General features: G+C 41.1%; 1 long non-coding RNA gene and 1 pseudogene across 4 annotated transcripts in view, besides 1 other annotated feature; both read right to left on the bottom strand.

The window, feature by feature from the left end:
- The window catches only part of SUGT1P4-STRA6LP-CCDC180 (SUGT1P4-STRA6LP-CCDC180 readthrough), a 138,870-nt gene that overhangs the window by 91,814 nt on the left and 29,961 nt on the right, over window positions 1–17,095 (bottom strand). For all 3 annotated transcript variants that reach the window (NR_036528.1, NR_036527.1, NR_036529.1), the window contains exons 5-8: window positions 8,785–8,913; window positions 7,856–7,926; window positions 6,009–6,120; window positions 3,813–3,966 (exon numbers count right to left, since the gene is read on the bottom strand). This is a non-coding gene — a long non-coding RNA (SUGT1P4-STRA6LP-CCDC180 readthrough). The remainder of the gene's footprint in view (window positions 1–3,812; window positions 3,967–6,008; window positions 6,121–7,855; window positions 7,927–8,784; window positions 8,914–17,095) is intronic.
- The window catches only part of SUGT1P4-STRA6LP (SUGT1P4-STRA6LP readthrough), a 58,889-nt pseudogene that overhangs the window by 11,833 nt on the left and 29,961 nt on the right, over window positions 1–17,095 (bottom strand). The window contains exons 5-8 of the transcript NR_036526.1: window positions 8,785–8,913; window positions 7,856–7,926; window positions 6,009–6,120; window positions 3,813–3,966 (exon numbers count right to left, since the gene is read on the bottom strand). The product of NR_036526.1 is annotated as an SUGT1P4-STRA6LP readthrough (transcript). The remainder of the gene's footprint in view (window positions 1–3,812; window positions 3,967–6,008; window positions 6,121–7,855; window positions 7,927–8,784; window positions 8,914–17,095) is intronic.
- Window positions 13,615–14,115: an enhancer, noted in NCBI's record as "H3K27ac-H3K4me1 hESC enhancer chr9:100033649-100034149 (GRCh37/hg19 assembly coordinates)". NCBI's record gives its function as "activates a minimal SCP1, AML or CMV promoter by ChIP-STARR-seq in naive H9 embryonic stem cells {active_cell/tissue: H9 hESC(naive)}" and the evidence as "EXISTENCE:reporter gene assay evidence [ECO:0000049][PMID:30033119]".

Below are 17,095 nucleotides of genomic sequence, written 5' to 3'. Positions count from 1 at the left end.
ATCAAAGGCCTAAATGTAAGAGCTAAAACTAAAAAAGTCTTAGAAGAAAATATGAGAAAAATCCCTGTGACCTTGGGTTAGACAATGATTTCTTAGATATGACACCAAAAGCACAAGTGACATAAGAAAAAACAGATATGTTTGGCTTCATCGAAATTGGAAACATTTGTGTTTCAAAAGATATCATCAAGAAAAGTGAAAAAGTAACCCACAAAATGGGAGAAAACATTTTCAAATCATGTATCTCATAAGGGATTTGTATACAAATTATTAAGCACACTTACAGCTCAATAAATAAATAATGCAATTTTTAAATCATCAAAGAATCTGAATAGACATTTCTCAAAAGAATATATACAAATGGCCAGTACGTGTAAAAGTACATGTAAAGATACCAAACATTATTAGCCACTAAAGAAATGAAAATAAAAACAATAGTGAGATTCCACTGCATCTCCACTAGATGGCTATAAACAAAAAAGATGGATAATAATAAGTGTTGACAAGGATGTGGAGAAATTGGAATTTCCACAATGCTGGTGAGACTAAACAGTGATACAGCTGCTTTTGAAAACAGTCTAGCAGTTCTCCAAAAGGTTAAACATAGAGTTTTCATGTGTTTAACCGGCTATTCCACTCCTAGATATATACCCAAAATATGTAAAAAAAAAAAAATATATAATACTTGTACATGAATGTTCCTAGCAGTCTTATTTGTAATAGTCAAAAAGTTACAGCAACCCAAATTTTTATCAACTGATGAATGAATAAATAAAATGTATATTCATAGAATGGAACAGTAATTGACAATAAAAAGGAATAAAAAATAATTTAAAAATTTGGACACATGCTGTGATATGGATGAACCTTGCTACATGAAAGAAGCCTGTCACAAAGGGTGACGTATTGTAAATAGAAGGAATAAGTTCAAGAGACCTATTGTACAACATGGTGACTATAGTTCATAATGATATATTATATTCTACAAAAATGCTGAATGAATGTTAAGTGTTCCATCACAAAAATTGTAACTATTTGAGGTAATATATTTGTCAATTAGCTAGATTTAACCATTTTAAAATGATATATACTTCAAAACATTATGTTTTACAGAATAAATGCATACAATTTTAGAAGTCAGTTTAAAAAATAAATTTGAAAAAGAGATGACATTATCACATTATTCCATTTCTATGATAGAGCTGGAATAGGCAAATCCATAAGGATAGAAAATAGATTCATAGTTGTTTAGGACAGGAAAGGTTGGAGGGAAATGGGTCATGATGTTTTGGGGAGGTGATGAAAAATGTTCTAAATGGTTGCACAATCTTGAGAAAATACTAAAAACCATTGAATGGTACACTTAAATGGATGAATGTATGGAATGTGGGTTATGTCTCCATAAAGGTGTTTCAAGGCCAGGTGCAGTAGCTCACATCTGTAATCATAGCACTCTGGGAGGCCAAAGTGTGAGGACTGCTTGATTGCAGGAATTTGAGACCAGCCTGGGCAACATAGCAAGACCCTGTCTCTACAAAAAAATCAGCAAATTAGCTGGGTGTGGTGGCATGTGCTTGTGGTCCCAGCTACTTGGGAAGCAGAGTGAGAGGATTGCCTGAGCCTGGGAGGTTGAGGCTGCAGTGAGCCATAATCATGCCTCTGAGCCTGAGTGACAGAGTGATACCCTCTCTGGAAAAAAAAAAAAAGTTTCTTAAAAAGAAAGAAAATGAAAGTAGATTTCCTTTCCTTTCAAGTTCCAAATGTGTCCTTGTCCTTGTCCCAGGATCACTAGGACTAGGCAAGTGCTACATTCCAAATCTCAACCAACCCAAAACTGCCATAAATCCTACCCCAGAGGATGCAGGGAAAACGTGTTTGGAAGGGAAGGATGAGACGAGTCTGGCTACAAGAAGGGTGAGTGCAGAGTTGCTCCAGCTAACAGCATGAACACCTTATGCATTTAATTTAATGCCTTTATCTTCCCAGGCAAAGGTGAAGTATGGTCAGCTTGAAAGTTTCTCTTGGCAAATGGGTAGCTGTTTTAAAGCTGGAAGAGACCAGGATAAAGAAAAATTTAATGTTTTGATTCTCAAAATGTCTGTATGTGTGATAAATACATCAAAACATGAGTGAACATGGTGATATATTCACCATAAAGCACAGAGACCAAGAAAGTGAAGTTTCCTTTAAAATTTTTTCCGAAAACAGAGATGAAAATGTGTATTTCTAAAAGTAAGATTTAGAATGGGTATCACTGAAATTAAAGATTATAATATACTCTCTCAGTGTTATACTCAGGGACTCATTATGTTGAACATAAATCTCCACTGAAGATGAATAAAACTGTTGAAGAGCAACAGTAAACTATGGTACTGCGGAAGGGGCAGTATCTGTTCAGTGCTCATGTAAAAGGTAACTTTCCATGACACAAATATGTGATTTCACAGATGAGGAAACTGGGGCCAAGAGAGGGGTCCTGACTTGTCTTATGACACAGAGTGAACGTATCCAGGCATCTTGTCTAGGGTCCTTTCTCATCTGGGAATAATGAACAATTCTCATCCCTCCACAGGCAATAGACATAACACTCAAATATGTCATTTTCAAAGAAAGTTTCCATTTTAAGATAAAGTGCCTTTCTTATTGCCTAGGGCAAAGGACCTGAATAGACATTTCTCAAAAGAAGACATACCAATGGCCAACAGGTATATGAAAAAATGTTCATCACCACTAATTATCAGGGAAATACAAATCAAAACCACAACAAGGTATCATCTTATACTTGTGAGAATGGCTACTATCAAAAAGACAAGAGATAAGTGTTGGCAAGGATGTGGAGAAAAAACAACTCTAGTATACTGTTAGTGTGAATGTAAATTAGTACAACCTTTTGTAAAATAGTATGGAGGTTCCTCAAAAAATTAAAAATACAATTATCATGTGATCCATCAATCTCACTACTGGGTATATATCCAAAGGAAATGAAATCAGTATATTGAAGAGATATCTGCACTACCATTTTCATTGCAGCACTGTTCACAATAGCCAACAGATGGAATCAACCTAAGTGACCAACAACAGATAAATGAATAGAGAAAATGTGTTATACATTATATACAATGAACTACTACTGAGCCTTTAAAAACAAGGAAATCCTGCCATTTGTGACAACATGGATGAACCTGGAGAACATCACATTAAGTGAAATAAGCCAGGCACAGAAAGACAAATACTGCATGATCTCACTTACGTATGGAATCTAAAAGAGGTGAACTCATGAAAGCAGAGTAGAATGGTGGTTATCAGGGGCAAGCAGGGGTGTGTGTAGGGGGGTGGGATTGGGGAGATGTGTGTCAAAGGATACAAAATTTCAGTTAGACAAGAGATTAAGTTAAAGAGATCTATTTTTAAGTGACTTTCAAGTAAAATTTGAAAGATATAAATAAACATTTCATAAAGAAAGGTCAAGGTTTGGTGTTTTATTTTTTTCCAAATGGAAAATATAGAATCATTTTAGTACTTGCCATTGGCATTGAGACAAAATGGGCAATTTAAGATGAGAAAATTTTCAGGGCATGTTCATTTCAGCTCCAGCTTCATTAAAGAAACGACTGTGTCTTGACCCCTTTGTCTTTCTAGTCAATCCAGGGAGGTAAATCAGCTCTAACACATTTTTCTCCAAGTGTGGTCATCCCAGCCAGGTATATCAATGCTAGCAGCCACAAATACTACACGTGTCCACCTGCCATCAGTTACAAGCCCCTCTCTCAGTTTCCCACACAGGTGTGAGAACAGGTGGCTTATGGTTTTACCTTTGGTGACACTGATCAGCTCTTTCACCTGCAGGATGACTGGGGTCAGGACCCCTGAATGGTTCGTGAAGGTGATGTAGCTTTCCAGGTTGTTTTCAAGCACATCCAACTCATCTCTCACGTACACAAACACGCAGAACTCGATGACAATGAACTGGGGACACAGAGCAAAGGTTTCCAGGTCTCACCTGAGTCCAACTCAGCATGGGAATAACATATGGATTTTCCTTTGGGGTCAAGGCCAGTGTCTTCTAGGCATTCAAAACTCTTCTGAAAATGATTCTAGACATTGACTATTCTAAGATGAATGGGATTTTGAGTTTTTGGGAGACAGAAATTACTTCAAGGTCTGTTCTTTATCCTCCAGCAAACAAGACAAGGGCCCACAAGGGCTCAAGAAACTCTACAAACATTCATGGAACCAGTAAAAAAAGAATGACTAACTTTGAGTAAGGGGTGATCTGGGGGACAATTCCAGCCCTATCTCACTGATCCCCTTCACTGATCTTTGCAGGAGCCACACTGGAGAAATGTACAAATATTTCTTGTACAAATGTCATGGTTGCCCAACTTCTTATCATCCTGTTGTCATGCCATTGCTTCTATAGTTCCTGCTGCCAGTTCACTCACAAACCTAATCGCGTTTATCTCTGAAAGTGGAGCTCATACACTATCATGTTCATGCACCTGCTCGATCTTGAATGATTTGCTAAACTTCCAGAGCATTTCACTTTATCCTTTTTCTCTCTTAAGATGGCAGGTCCCTCATACCATGTCTTATCTCCTTCTCATAGACCATGAGCTTCTCCCAGCCCAGGACTGAGCTGAATCAGCTCTCTGCCCTCTTCCAACTCTTAGTCCAGTGCTTGGCATAGAGTAGATATTCCATAAATACTTAAGAAACAATGTAATCCCAAATTTGTTATTCATTGTTACACAGAACTATAGTTGTCCCTTAAAATCCATTCTCCCTTCTTTGGGCACAGAGCTAGACTACATTTCCCAGCCTCCCTTATATTGGGTATGGCTACATGACTAGGTTCTTGCCAACAGAAGAGGAGTAGAAGGAATATATGATACTTCCACACCTAGTCCATGGAAACCCTCCACAAGCATCTCTCCTTGCTTTGCCCCTTTCTGTTGACTATATGCAGATTGTGATGAGGTCCTCCAGGATGGTGAAGGCACATGATGGAAGAATTCTGGGTTTCCGAACGACCACACAGAGGAGTGCAGCTTCCCCTACCTGAACACTGAACTCACCACTGTTGTGTGGGTAAAAAAATATATACTGTTAAGCCACAGGAATTTAGGAGGTTATCTGGCACTTCAGCATAACCTACCTAATACACTCACCTAAAAACTTAATCACAGGATTTACTTAAATAGGTATTCTCCTACTACATTTAAAATGAACAGAAGACAATTTAGCCTTGCCATTTTTATGCATCCATTTTGACCCTACTTTTAACTCAGCCATTTTATCTCAGATAACTTTGACCACACAAAATGTTTTGATTCTATTCTTAATAAAATATTGAAGTCAGAATTATGCCAGCACTTAAAATGTCTTGTTGAGAAAGCAAACTTAAAAAAGAATGTTTAATCTGCTTAAAAATATAGTATGGTAAACCAATTCTAGTTATCTGCTTTTATTTTTAATTCAATTAAAATAAATTCAATTATTAATTTATAATAAGTTCAATAATTTTAAATTCAATTATTGAAAAAGAATTGAAATTATTTTTTTAGAATCAATTATTTTACATTTAAATGATTTGATTTTTGCTCACAGAAAAATTTATTGATCACAGATTCTACTATTGTAAGTTTTCTTTAGGGATGACTATTTCTACCAAGTAAACTTTCCTGGCTCAAATTTTGCATATCAAAATATTCTTAAATATATTTTTCTTCTATCAGGTTTTAGTTGATAATAAATTTTACCATGTGGCATTTTAACCATTATAGTTTTATTTTTTGTGGATTATTTTTACTAGTCATATTCACCATGTGGGTAAAAGTGTCCTTGGAATCAAAATGGTGGGGTTGAAGCATTGTACTTCTTTGACTTATCAAGATTCAATTTTGACCCAGCTCTTTAGGAACATGCTGCTTGCCTCAAAGACTCCATAACCCCATCCCCAACCCTGCCCCATTTATAAAATATAAAAAGGTTTTCTTAGAGCTACTTACAAGATACAGGCAGATGAATGCCAACACAATGGTTCCAATCATTCTGCTTGGAAATTGAAAGCAGGGATCCCACTCATATATCCTGGTTTGGAACCAAGACTTTTTTTTCTCTCTGTGGATAAGAAATAAATATCAAGAGATGAGAGGCTGGTAGGAAAATGAATGCCTGATTCATCTGAAAATAACCCCACCTTCTTTTTAATCTTAGAGTATATTATAGAAAGAGAACACTGTTAGCTTCCATGGTTTTCATTCTCCCCTTATTCTTAAGGACAAAAACTGGATTTTATTTTGGGCAGAAATTCACCAAACTAAAAGATTAAAGTTCCCAACCTGTCTTGCAGCTACGAGTGACCAGACTAAATCCAGGCTAATGACATGTGACCACAAGTGTGGTGTGGAACATTGGAGAGGCTGCTCAGATGGAACTAACGCAGCTGGGAAAGCTGCCTTGTCTTGCCTTGCCTGCTGTCTGAAATGCAGATGTGGTGGCTGGTCCAAGCTGGAGCTCCAGCAGCCACATTGGACCATGAGACAGCACTGAGGATGGAAAGCACATACATGATGCTAGAACAGAAAGACAGGTGACTGGTGAACTGCCATGGTGGGCAGTCCAGGGTCAGGATGGACTGCTCACCTTCAGAGTTTTTTATAAGAGAAAGTAATAAATCTCTCTCTTGGTTGTGCCACTATTATTTGTGGTTTTCTACTACATGTAGCCAAACTGAATTCTAACCAAAGTACTAGCTTTGCCACTGTGTGACCATGGACCAGACACATCCCTTCACTGGGACATATGCCCACATGCATAGTAAAAGGAGCAGATGTGGTGGTGGCTTGTATGATTCTAAGATCTGCTGCTTTTGCCTGACAACATCTATATCCTCCTCTACTGGTAACAGCACCTCAGTTTTATGTTGTTTGTTTCTTTTGTTTTTGTTTTGATACATGGTCTCGCTCTGTTTCCCAAGCTGCAGTGCAGTAGCGTGGTCATTGCTTACTGCAGCCTTGACCTCTCAACTCAAGTGGTCCTCCCACCTCAGCCTCCCAAGTAGCTGGGACCAGACGTGCACCTCCACACCTGATTAAATTGCTCATTTTTTGTAGAGACGGGGGTCTCATCATGTTGCCCAGGCTAGTCTTGAACTTGTGAGCTCAAGTGATTCTCCCGCCTCGGCCCCCCAAAGTACTGGGATTACAGGCAAGAGTCGCCATGCCCGGCCTAACACCTCAGTTTTAATTTGGGGAACCACCACTCTCTGACCCTGGGTCTTAGTGGGTAAGTGATGCTGATCCCACTTCCTGGCTCCACGGGAAGGGGAGGGACATGTGACTCAGGCTTAGCCAATCAGTGCACTACAATCACTGCCACAGTAAGTGGTTCTGGGGTGGCGTGTGATCCAATTTGATCCAGTGAAATACATTTGTGGGACTTTTGTTTGAATAACTGGAAAGGAGCATTCGTCTTTCTTCTGGGCTTAAACCAGGAGGGTATAAACTTAAGAGAGTCTGGGCACCACCATGTGGAGGAATCCCACCTAACTGTGAGGCCCACACATAAAAGCAGAGCTGAGGGGAGATTGAGGGAGAGAGACCTAGTTCTGATGATATCAATTAAGCCTCTGGATCCAGCTTGCCTGAAACTGACTACCTCTAGACTTTTTAGTGATGGGAGCCCATAAATTTCCTTTCTTGCTTTAATCCAGTTTGAGTTGGGTTTCTGTATTTAGCAAATGAGAGTCTTGACCACTACAGTGCCTTTCTGGTCATCCCAGGCTCTGTCGCATCATCAGAGCTCACCAGAGTGGGAGCAAACCTGCAGGTGAATGAACAGAACTGTGGCTTACTGAGGGCGGGGTATCCTCAGGAGCTGCTTGACGTGCTCTCCCTGGTGCACTTCCAGGACAGATTTTTCTTCCTGTAAGAGAGCAGACAGGCTTACACTTTGGCTCACAAATTCTTGTTAGTGTTTTGATCTTAAGAGGGGGCAATGGCCACGGAGGGCCAGATTGGGGGTAGGAGTTGCTCTTTTGGATTTAGCCACGCTGTGGTCAAGATAGGTCTTTTCCTCCCCGCTACACCCCACTGTTGAATTTGCCCCATGCCAAAGAGGCTGTGTTTGACAGTGGTTAAGGAAGAGGCTCCACAACTGAACTGTCTAGGTTCCATTTCTGGCTCTGCTACAGGTTAGCCATGTGAAAGGAAAATATCTTGGGCCCCCAAAATTACTAAGCTAAAGGGAAAAGTCAAACTGAGAACTGCTTAGGGCAAATCTGTCTTCCATTCTATTCAAAGTCACCCCTCTGCTCACTGAGATAAATGCATATCTGATTGCCTCCTTTGGAGAGGCTAATTAGAAACTCAAAAGAATGAAACCATTTGTCTCATCTACCTATGACCTGGAAGCCCCTTCCAGTTTTCCCGCCTTTCCAGACTGAACCAATGTTCATCTTACATATGTTGATTGATGTCTCATGTCTCCCTAAAATGTATAAAACCAAACTGTGCTCTGACCACATTGGGCACATGTCAGGACCTCATGAGGCTGTGTCATGGGCACGTGTCTTCAACTCTGACAAAATAAACTTTCTAAATTAACTGAGACTTGTCTCAGATTTTCAGGGTTCACAGCTGGGTGACCTCAGGCAACTCAACTCACCTCTCTGCATCCAAGTTTCTGAATTCAGAATGTGAGGTGTAGTAACAGTACCTGCCTCTCTGGCTGTTGTAGAGATTAAACCCACCAGCACATGCAGTGCTCATACTTAGTACTCACCACCTGGAGCTCCCAGCCGAGGTGCACCCTCAGAGCCTTGACAAACATATGCAGGAAGCGGCCCAGCAGGAAGGCAAGGCACAGCAGCGAGGGCCAGTAAAACACGAGGGTCTCATAATTCTCCACAAACTGCAACAGAAGCAGATCACAATGCAGCTCCAGGCAGGTGGGGCCGAGCCACCTGCTGAAGCTGCAGGACTCTGCCTGCCCCAGCTTGCTCCAGCAAGGCCCCCTCTCTCAGGCTTGTGAGTCAGTGGCCAATCCCTGATCCCCCAAACCCCCATCGTCAGAATGGGCAGTGAACTTGGAGCACAGCAACCCTGCATTCAAGTCTTGGCACCTTCATTTTATTTTATAAAGCTAGCTTTCCAGTCTGGGTGACAGAGCAAGACCCTGTCTCAAAACAAAACTAGTTTTCAAGGTATTTTTTTCCTTATTAGGAAGTTATTAATAAATACTCCTTTTGGAAAATATATGAGTGAGAGAGTCGGAGGTGGGTAGGTAGATGGGAGGAGGAGGCAGAGAGGGAGAGGGAGAAAGAGAAACAAAGAGAGAGGAAGAAATGGAAGGAGGGAGGTAGAGAAGAAGAAATAACCCATAATTGCCATAGGCTGGGAGCAACACAAGCTGAGGGAAGAGTAACAGTTCTCTCAAGATGGTACTCATCGGTTTTCTGTGTTTTTAGTTTTATTTTGATGAAAAAGATGGTTTTTCACTGTCTCAAAACAAATAATATTGTGACTTATCTTTTATACTTTACTGGTTTGTTTCATGTTTTTTACATTTCCAGAGTCATATTTCCTCCCACGGGAAATTGGGGTTTGACTTTGTGATGTTAAGGTGCAGGATGGAGATATGCTGAGATGCAGGGCTCATGTCTTCCCGTGATCCTCCTCTCCAACATATGCTTATGGCTAGATATGACCACTGTCAACATTCCTGTGTCTTTCATCTATATATCTATATGTACTATAAATTGAGGTTGTACCAAACATAAAGGTCTGCATATATGCGCTCCTGGCCCAGGTGGCTTTCTTGAGCTCCCCACAACCTGCCTGGTAGCATTTCTAGGTGCATTGTGACATCCCTCTTTCAACTCACTCCTTTTCTGGGGTCCAGGGCTAAGGAGATGAACCAGTTCCCACCAATTCTGAGGACAATGCATGGCAAAGTTGGAAGGGGCTCATCTGGTCCAAGTCTTCCATTTTATAGAAAAAGAGATGAGCTACATAGAGTGAAAAGAAATGGACTTTGGAGTCAGCCAGACCTGCCCTCAATACCCAATTCCACTGCTTCCTGTAAGTGACTTAATGTACTTGAACCTCACTTAATATACTAGTTTCTCACCTGTGAACTAGGTTTGATGAACTTCCCACCCTTCCAGGGCTGCAGAGAAGTAAAGCTGCACAGCTACAACCATCTGATCTTCAAAAAAGCCAAAAAAACAAGCAATGGAGAAAGGACTCCCTACTCAACAACTGGTGTTGGTATAACTGACTAGCCATATGCAGAAGATTGAAACTGGACCCCTTCCTTTCACCACAAACAAAAAGCAACCCATGATGGATAAAAGACTTAAGTGTAAAACCTAAAACTATAAAATCTCTGGAAGAGGGCAGGTGTGGTGGCTCATGCCTGTAATCCCTGCACTTTGGGAGGCCAAGGCAGGGGGATCATGAGGTCAGGAGTTCGAGACCAGCCTGGCCAACATGGTGAAACCCCGTCTCTACTAAAAATATAAAAATTAGCCAGGCGTGGTAGTGTGCATCTGTAATCCCAGCTACTGGGGAGGCTGAGGCAAGAGAATCGCTTGAACCCAGGAGGTGGATGTTGCAGTGAGCCCTGATTATGCCATTGCACTCCAGCCTGGGCAGCAGAGGAGGACTCTGTCTCAAAAGAAAAAAAAAAAAAAACACTATAAAATCCTAGGAAATACCATTCTGACACAGGACCTTGGAAAGATTTCATGATGAAGATGCCAAAAGCAATTGCAACAAAATCAAAAACAGACTAGTGGAACCTAATTAAACTAAAGAGCTTCTGCATAGCAAAAGAAACTATCAACAGACTAAATAGACAGCCTACAGAATGGGAAAAAAATGTTTGAAAATTATGCATCTGACAAACGTCTAATATCCAGAATCTATAAGGAACTTAAACAAATGTACAAGCAAAAAACAAACAACCTCATTTAAAAAGAAAAAGGGCAAAGGACACGAACAGATACTTCTCAAAAGACATACACACAGCTAACAAACATGAAAAAATGTTCAACATCACTAATCACTAGAGAAATGCAAATCAAAACTACAATGAGATACCGTTTCATACCAGTCAGAATGACTATTATTAAAAAGCCAAAAAATAGATGCTGGCAATGTTGCAGAGGAAAGGGAATGCTTATACACTACTGGTAGGTATGTAAATCAGTTCAGCCATTGTAAAAAGTAGTTTGGTGATTTCTCAAAGAACCTGAGAATTACCCTGAGACTCAGTAATACTATTACTGAGTATATACCCGAAAGAATAGAAATCATTCTACCATAAAGACACATGCACACATATGTTAATCACAGTACTATTCACAATTGCAAATATACAGAATTAACCTAAGTGTCCATCAATGGTGAACTGAATAAAAAAATGTGGCATACATTTACCATGGAATACTATGCACCCATAAAAAACACTATCATGTCCTTTGCAGCAATACAGATGGAGCTGGAGGCTATCCAGCTCCAGGTTAAATTCTAAGGTAAGGAAACTGGCCAGGCATGGTGGCTCACACCTGTAATCCCAGCACTTTGGGAGGCCAAGGCAGGCAGATCACAAGGTCAGGAGATCCGAGACCATCCTGGGTAACATGGTGAAACCCCATCTCTACTAAAAATACAAAAAATTAGTCGGGCATGGTGGGGGGCACCTGTAGTCCCAGCTACTCAGGAGGCTGAGGCAGGAGAATGGCATGAACCTGGGAGGCGGAGCTTGCAGTGAGCTGAGATCGTGCCACTGCACTCCAGCCTGGGTGACAGAGTGAGACTCCGTCTCAAAAAAAAAAAAAAATTATTCTAAGGAAACTAACACAGGAACAGCCAACCAAATACCACATGTTCTCGCCTATAAGTGGGAGTTAAATATTGAGTACACATGGACACAAATATGGGAACACTAGACATTGGGGCCTACTTGAGGGTGGAGGTTGGGAGGAGGGTGAGTATCAAAAAACTACCTATCAGGTACTATGCTTATTGCCTGAGTGACAAAATAATCTGTACATCACACCCCCATGACACACAACTTCCATATATAAGAAACCTGCACATGTACCCTTGAACCTAAAATAAAAAGTTAAAAATGAATTAAATAAAATGTGCATATAAAAAATAAACTGGATTTAGGCATGTCTATTTGTATATAAAAATGGAGCTACTGGCACAGTCATGAACCAACTAAAATATATCTCAGTATATTAAAATGGCTAATATTGATGTAAAGACAATCAGTAAGAGAAGAGAAAATATTTAAGATTGGATTTAGGGTTTTACATAAAATTATCAAAGGCGGGTTGCGGTGGCTCACGCCTGCAATCCCAGCACTTTGGGAGGCCAAGGTGGGTGGATCACCTGAGGTTGGGAGGTCGAGACCAGCATGACCAACATGGAGAAACCCCGTCTCTACTAAAAATACAAAATTAGTCGGGCATGGTGGTGCATGCCTGTAATCCCACTACTTGGGAGGCTGAGGCAGGAGAACTGCTTGAACCCAGGAGGCAGAGATTGCGGTGAGCCAACATCGTGCCATTGCACTCAAGCCTGGGCAACAAGAGTGAAACTCCATCTCAAAAAAAAAAAAAAAAAAAAAAAAAAAAAAAAAAAAAAAAAAAAGAAAAGCAAAGAAAAAGAAAGAAATTATCACTGCTGGAAAACCAACAGATTACATGTCAGATGGATCACAGCAGATGTGTGAGGACTGAAATAATGTGGAATAAACATTTTTAAAAAAGCTTCAACAACAGACTACATCAAGCAGTATAATAAATTTCAGAACTTGAAGTCAGATCTTTTAAAATTACCCCATCAGACAAAAATAAAGAAAAAAGAAAAAAGGAATGAACAAAGCCTACATGACATATGGGACACCATAAAGCAACCAAACATTTGAATTTTCAGTGTCCCAGAAGGCAAAGAGCAAACCATGGGGATAGAAAAGCTACTTAACAAAGTAATAAAACTTTTCAAGTCTACCAAGAGATTTAGATATGCAGATACAGGAAGCACAGAGATCCCCAAACAGAGGGTGGATCGCTTGAGCCCAGGAGTTTGAGACTGGCCTGGGCAACATAGTGAGATTCTGTCTCTACAAAAAAATACAAAAGTTAGCCAGGCATGCTAGTGTGTGCCTGTAATGCCAGCTACAAGGAAGGCTCAGGTAGAAGGACTGCTTGAGCCCAGGAGGGGGAGGTTGCAGCGAGCTGAGATTGCGCCATTGCATTCCACCCTGTGTCTCCAAAAATAAAATGTCTTGAAACAAATGAAAATTGAAACGCAACATACCAAAACCTATGGGATACAACAAAAGCACTGCTAGGAGGGAAGTTGATAGCAATAAACACCTATATTTTAAAAGTAGAAAGATTTCAAATAAACAAACTAATGATACACCTCAAAGAACTAGAAAAGCAAGAACAAAACAAACCCCAAATTAGTAGAATGACAGACATAATAAAGATCAGAGCAGAACTAAATGAAATATATTTTGAAAACAATACAAAGAATCGATGAAACAAAAAAGGTAAACAAAATCGATAAACTGTTAGCTAGACTAACCAAGGAAAAAAAAAAGATGAACAAAGTAAACAAAATCCAAGATGAAAAAGAAAACATTGCCAGGCACAGTGGCTCGTGCCTGTAATCCCAACATTTTGAGAGGCTGAGGCAGGTGGATTGTTTGAGCTCAGAAGTATGAAACTAGCCTGGGCAATGTGGTGAAACTCAGCCTAAAAAAATACAGAACTTAGCTGGGCATGGTGACACATCCTTGTGAGAGGTGACAATGTGCTAGCAGCCCTCGCTTGCTCTTGGTGCCTCCTCGGCTTCGGCGTCTGCTCTGGCCGTGCTCGAGGAGCCCTTCAGCCTGCCGCTGTGCTGTAGGGGCCTCTCTCTGGGGCTGGCCGAGGCGGGGGCCGGCTCCCTCTGCTCATGGGGAAGTGTGGAGGGAGAGGCGTGGGGGCGGGGGGTTGGGGGGTGGGGAGGGGAGCCGGGGCTGCCCGCGGGGCGCTCGCAGGCCAGTGCGGGTTCCGGGTGGGCGCAGGCTCGGCAGGCCCCGCACTCGGCTCGGCAGGCCGGCGCCTGCTGGGCTTGATCGGGGTACGAGCTCCCTCTGGGCTGCCAGAGTGCCCGGGCTAGGTGCACAAGTGGGATTTGCCCCAAAAATGCAGAGGTAGTTCAACATACACAAATCAACAAAGATGACACATCACATCAACAGAAAGAAGGACAAAAACCATAAGATCATTTCAAGAGATGCAGAAAAAGCATTTGATACAATTCAAAATCTCTTCATGATAAAAACTCTCAAACTAGGCATTGAAGGAGTATATAATACCTCGACATAACAAAGCCTACATATGACAAACCCACAGTTAACATCATACTATCACAGCTTTCAGCTTTTCCTCTAGGAACTGGAACAAGACAAGGATGTCTATTTTCGCCACTCATATTCAACACAGTACTGGAAGTCTTAGCCAGAGCAATCAGGCAATAGAAACAAGTAAAAGACATCCAAATTGGAAAAGAGAAAGTAAAATTGTCCCTCTATGCAGATGACATGATCTTGTATCTACAAAAACCTGACAACTCCAGCAAAAGCTCTTAGATCTGATAAATAAGTTCAGTAAAGTTGTAGGATATGGCCAGGCGTGGTGGCTCATTCCTGTAATCCCAGCACTTAGGGAGGCCAAGGCGGGAGGATCACCTAAGGTCAGGAGTTCAAGACCAGCCTGACCAATACAGTGAAACCCCGTCTCAACTAAAAACACAAAAATTAGCCGGGCATGGTGGCATGCACTTGTAGTCCCAGCTACTCAGGGGGCTGAGACAGGAGAAGCACTTGAACCCAGCAGGCAGAGGTTGCAGTGAACCAAGATTGCTCCACTGCACTCCAGCCTGGGCTACAGAGCAAGACTCTGTCTCAAAAAAAAAAAAAAAAAAAAAGTTGTGGGATAAAAAAATCAACATACAAAAATTAGTAGCATTTCTATACACCAGTAATAACTAGCTGAGAAAGAATTCAAGAAGGAAATCCCATTTATAATAGCTACAAGAAAATAAATACTTAGGAAAAAAATTTAACCAAGTAGGTGAAAAACCTCTACAAGGAAAACTACAGAACGCTGATGAAAGAAATTGAAGAGGACATAAAGAAATGGAAATCAAATCCATGCTCCTGGATCAGAAAATATTAATATTATTAAAATGACCATATAATCCAAAGCAATCTACAGATTCAATAAAATATCTATCAAAATACCAATGCCATTTTTCACAGAAGTAGAAAAAATGATCCTAAAATTCATATGGAACGAAAAAAGAGCTCAAATAGCCAAAGCAATCCTAAGTAGAAAGAAAGCTGGAGACATTATACTATCTAACTCCAACGTATATTACAAGGCTCTAGTGACCAAAACATCACGGTATTGGTATAAAAACAGGTATAAAATGAAACAGGATAGAAAACTCAGAAATAGATCCATACATTTACAGCCAATTGATTTTCAACAAAGGTGTCAAGGACATTCACTGGGGAAAGGACATCTCTTCAATAAATGGTGCTGGGAAAACTGGATATCCACATACAAAAGAACGCGACTAACCTCCTACCTTTCACTATATACAAAAATCAACTCAAGATGGATTAAAGACTTAACCATAAGGCCTGAAACCATAAAACTACTAGAAGAAAACATAGGGGGAAGCACTTAAGGACACTGGTATAGGAAAAGATTTTATGGCTAAGACTTCAAACGCACAGGCAACAAAAACAAAAGCAGACAAATTGGACTATATTAAACTAAAAAGCTTCTGCACATCAGAGGAAACAACACAGTGAAGAGACAACCTGTTGAATGGGAGAAAATATTTGCAAACTATTCATCCAACAAGGAATTAACATCCAGAATACACAAGGAACTCAAATACCTCAACAGTAAAACATGATAATAATTCCATTTAAAAGTGGGCAAAGGGTCAGGCATTATGGCTCATGCCTGTAATCCTAGCACTTTGGGAGGCTGATGCAGGTGGACTGCTTGAGTCCAGGAGTTTGAGACCAGCCTGGGCAACATAGCAAAACCCCATCTCTACAAAAAAAATACAAAAATTAGACTGAGTCTGGTGATTCATGCCTGTAATCCCAGCACTTGGGGAGGCCAAGGCGGTAGGATCGCTTGAGCTCAAGAATTCAAGACCAGCCTGGGCAACATAGTCACTAGTTGCAGAGAACAGGAATCTATAAACTCATACCCTTATTGTGTATATATATATATGTATACACACAGTATATACAGGCTCATGCCTGTAATCCCAGCCCTTTGGTAGACTGAGGCAGGCACATCACTTGAGTTCAGGAGTTCCAGAACAGCAACATGATGAAACCTGTCTCTACAAAAAAAAAAATTAGGCAGCTGTGGTAGTGCCCGCTTGTGGTCCCAGCTACTGGCTACTCATGAGGCTGATACAGGAGGATCACTTGAGCCTTTCCTGCTTGCTTCGCTGAAGGCATCAGGCAGTTTCATGGCTGAGATCAACTCTTCTCAAAGAAGGTCCTAGCAGGACTGGGTGTCCACACCCAGGATATGGGTCCTGCAGAGAGTTTGTAATACTTACCCCTCAACCTTGGGGAAGGAGGAGGGGCTGGTGCCTTGAGGACTTACTGTCCTTCTGACCAGTCCTGATGTTTCCAAGGCACTGGGGTTTTCAGGACTGGATAAGACTGTTCTAAGGCCACAGTGTGGCAACTGCAGTGTGGCAACTGCAGCGAGTCACAGGTCAAATCCTCAACTCAGGCACTGTCTAAAGTGCCTTTCTTGGCCAGGTGCAGTGGCTCATGCCTGTAATCCCAGCACTTTGGGAGGCTGAGGTGGGTGGATTACCGGAGGCCAGGAGTTTGAGACCAGCCTGGCCAACATAGTAAAACCCTGTCTCTACTACAAATACAAAAACTAGCCAGGTGTGGTGGCACACGTTTGTAATCCCAGTTACTCGGGAGGTTGATGCAGGAGAATTGCTTGAACTCCAGAGGCAGAGAGTGC

This window comes from Homo sapiens, chromosome 9 (genome assembly GCF_000001405.40).
Source record: "Homo sapiens chromosome 9, GRCh38.p14 Primary Assembly".
Lineage (NCBI taxonomy): Eukaryota > Metazoa > Chordata > Mammalia > Primates > Hominidae > Homo > Homo sapiens.
This window is presented reverse-complemented; position numbering and strand designations above follow the sequence as displayed.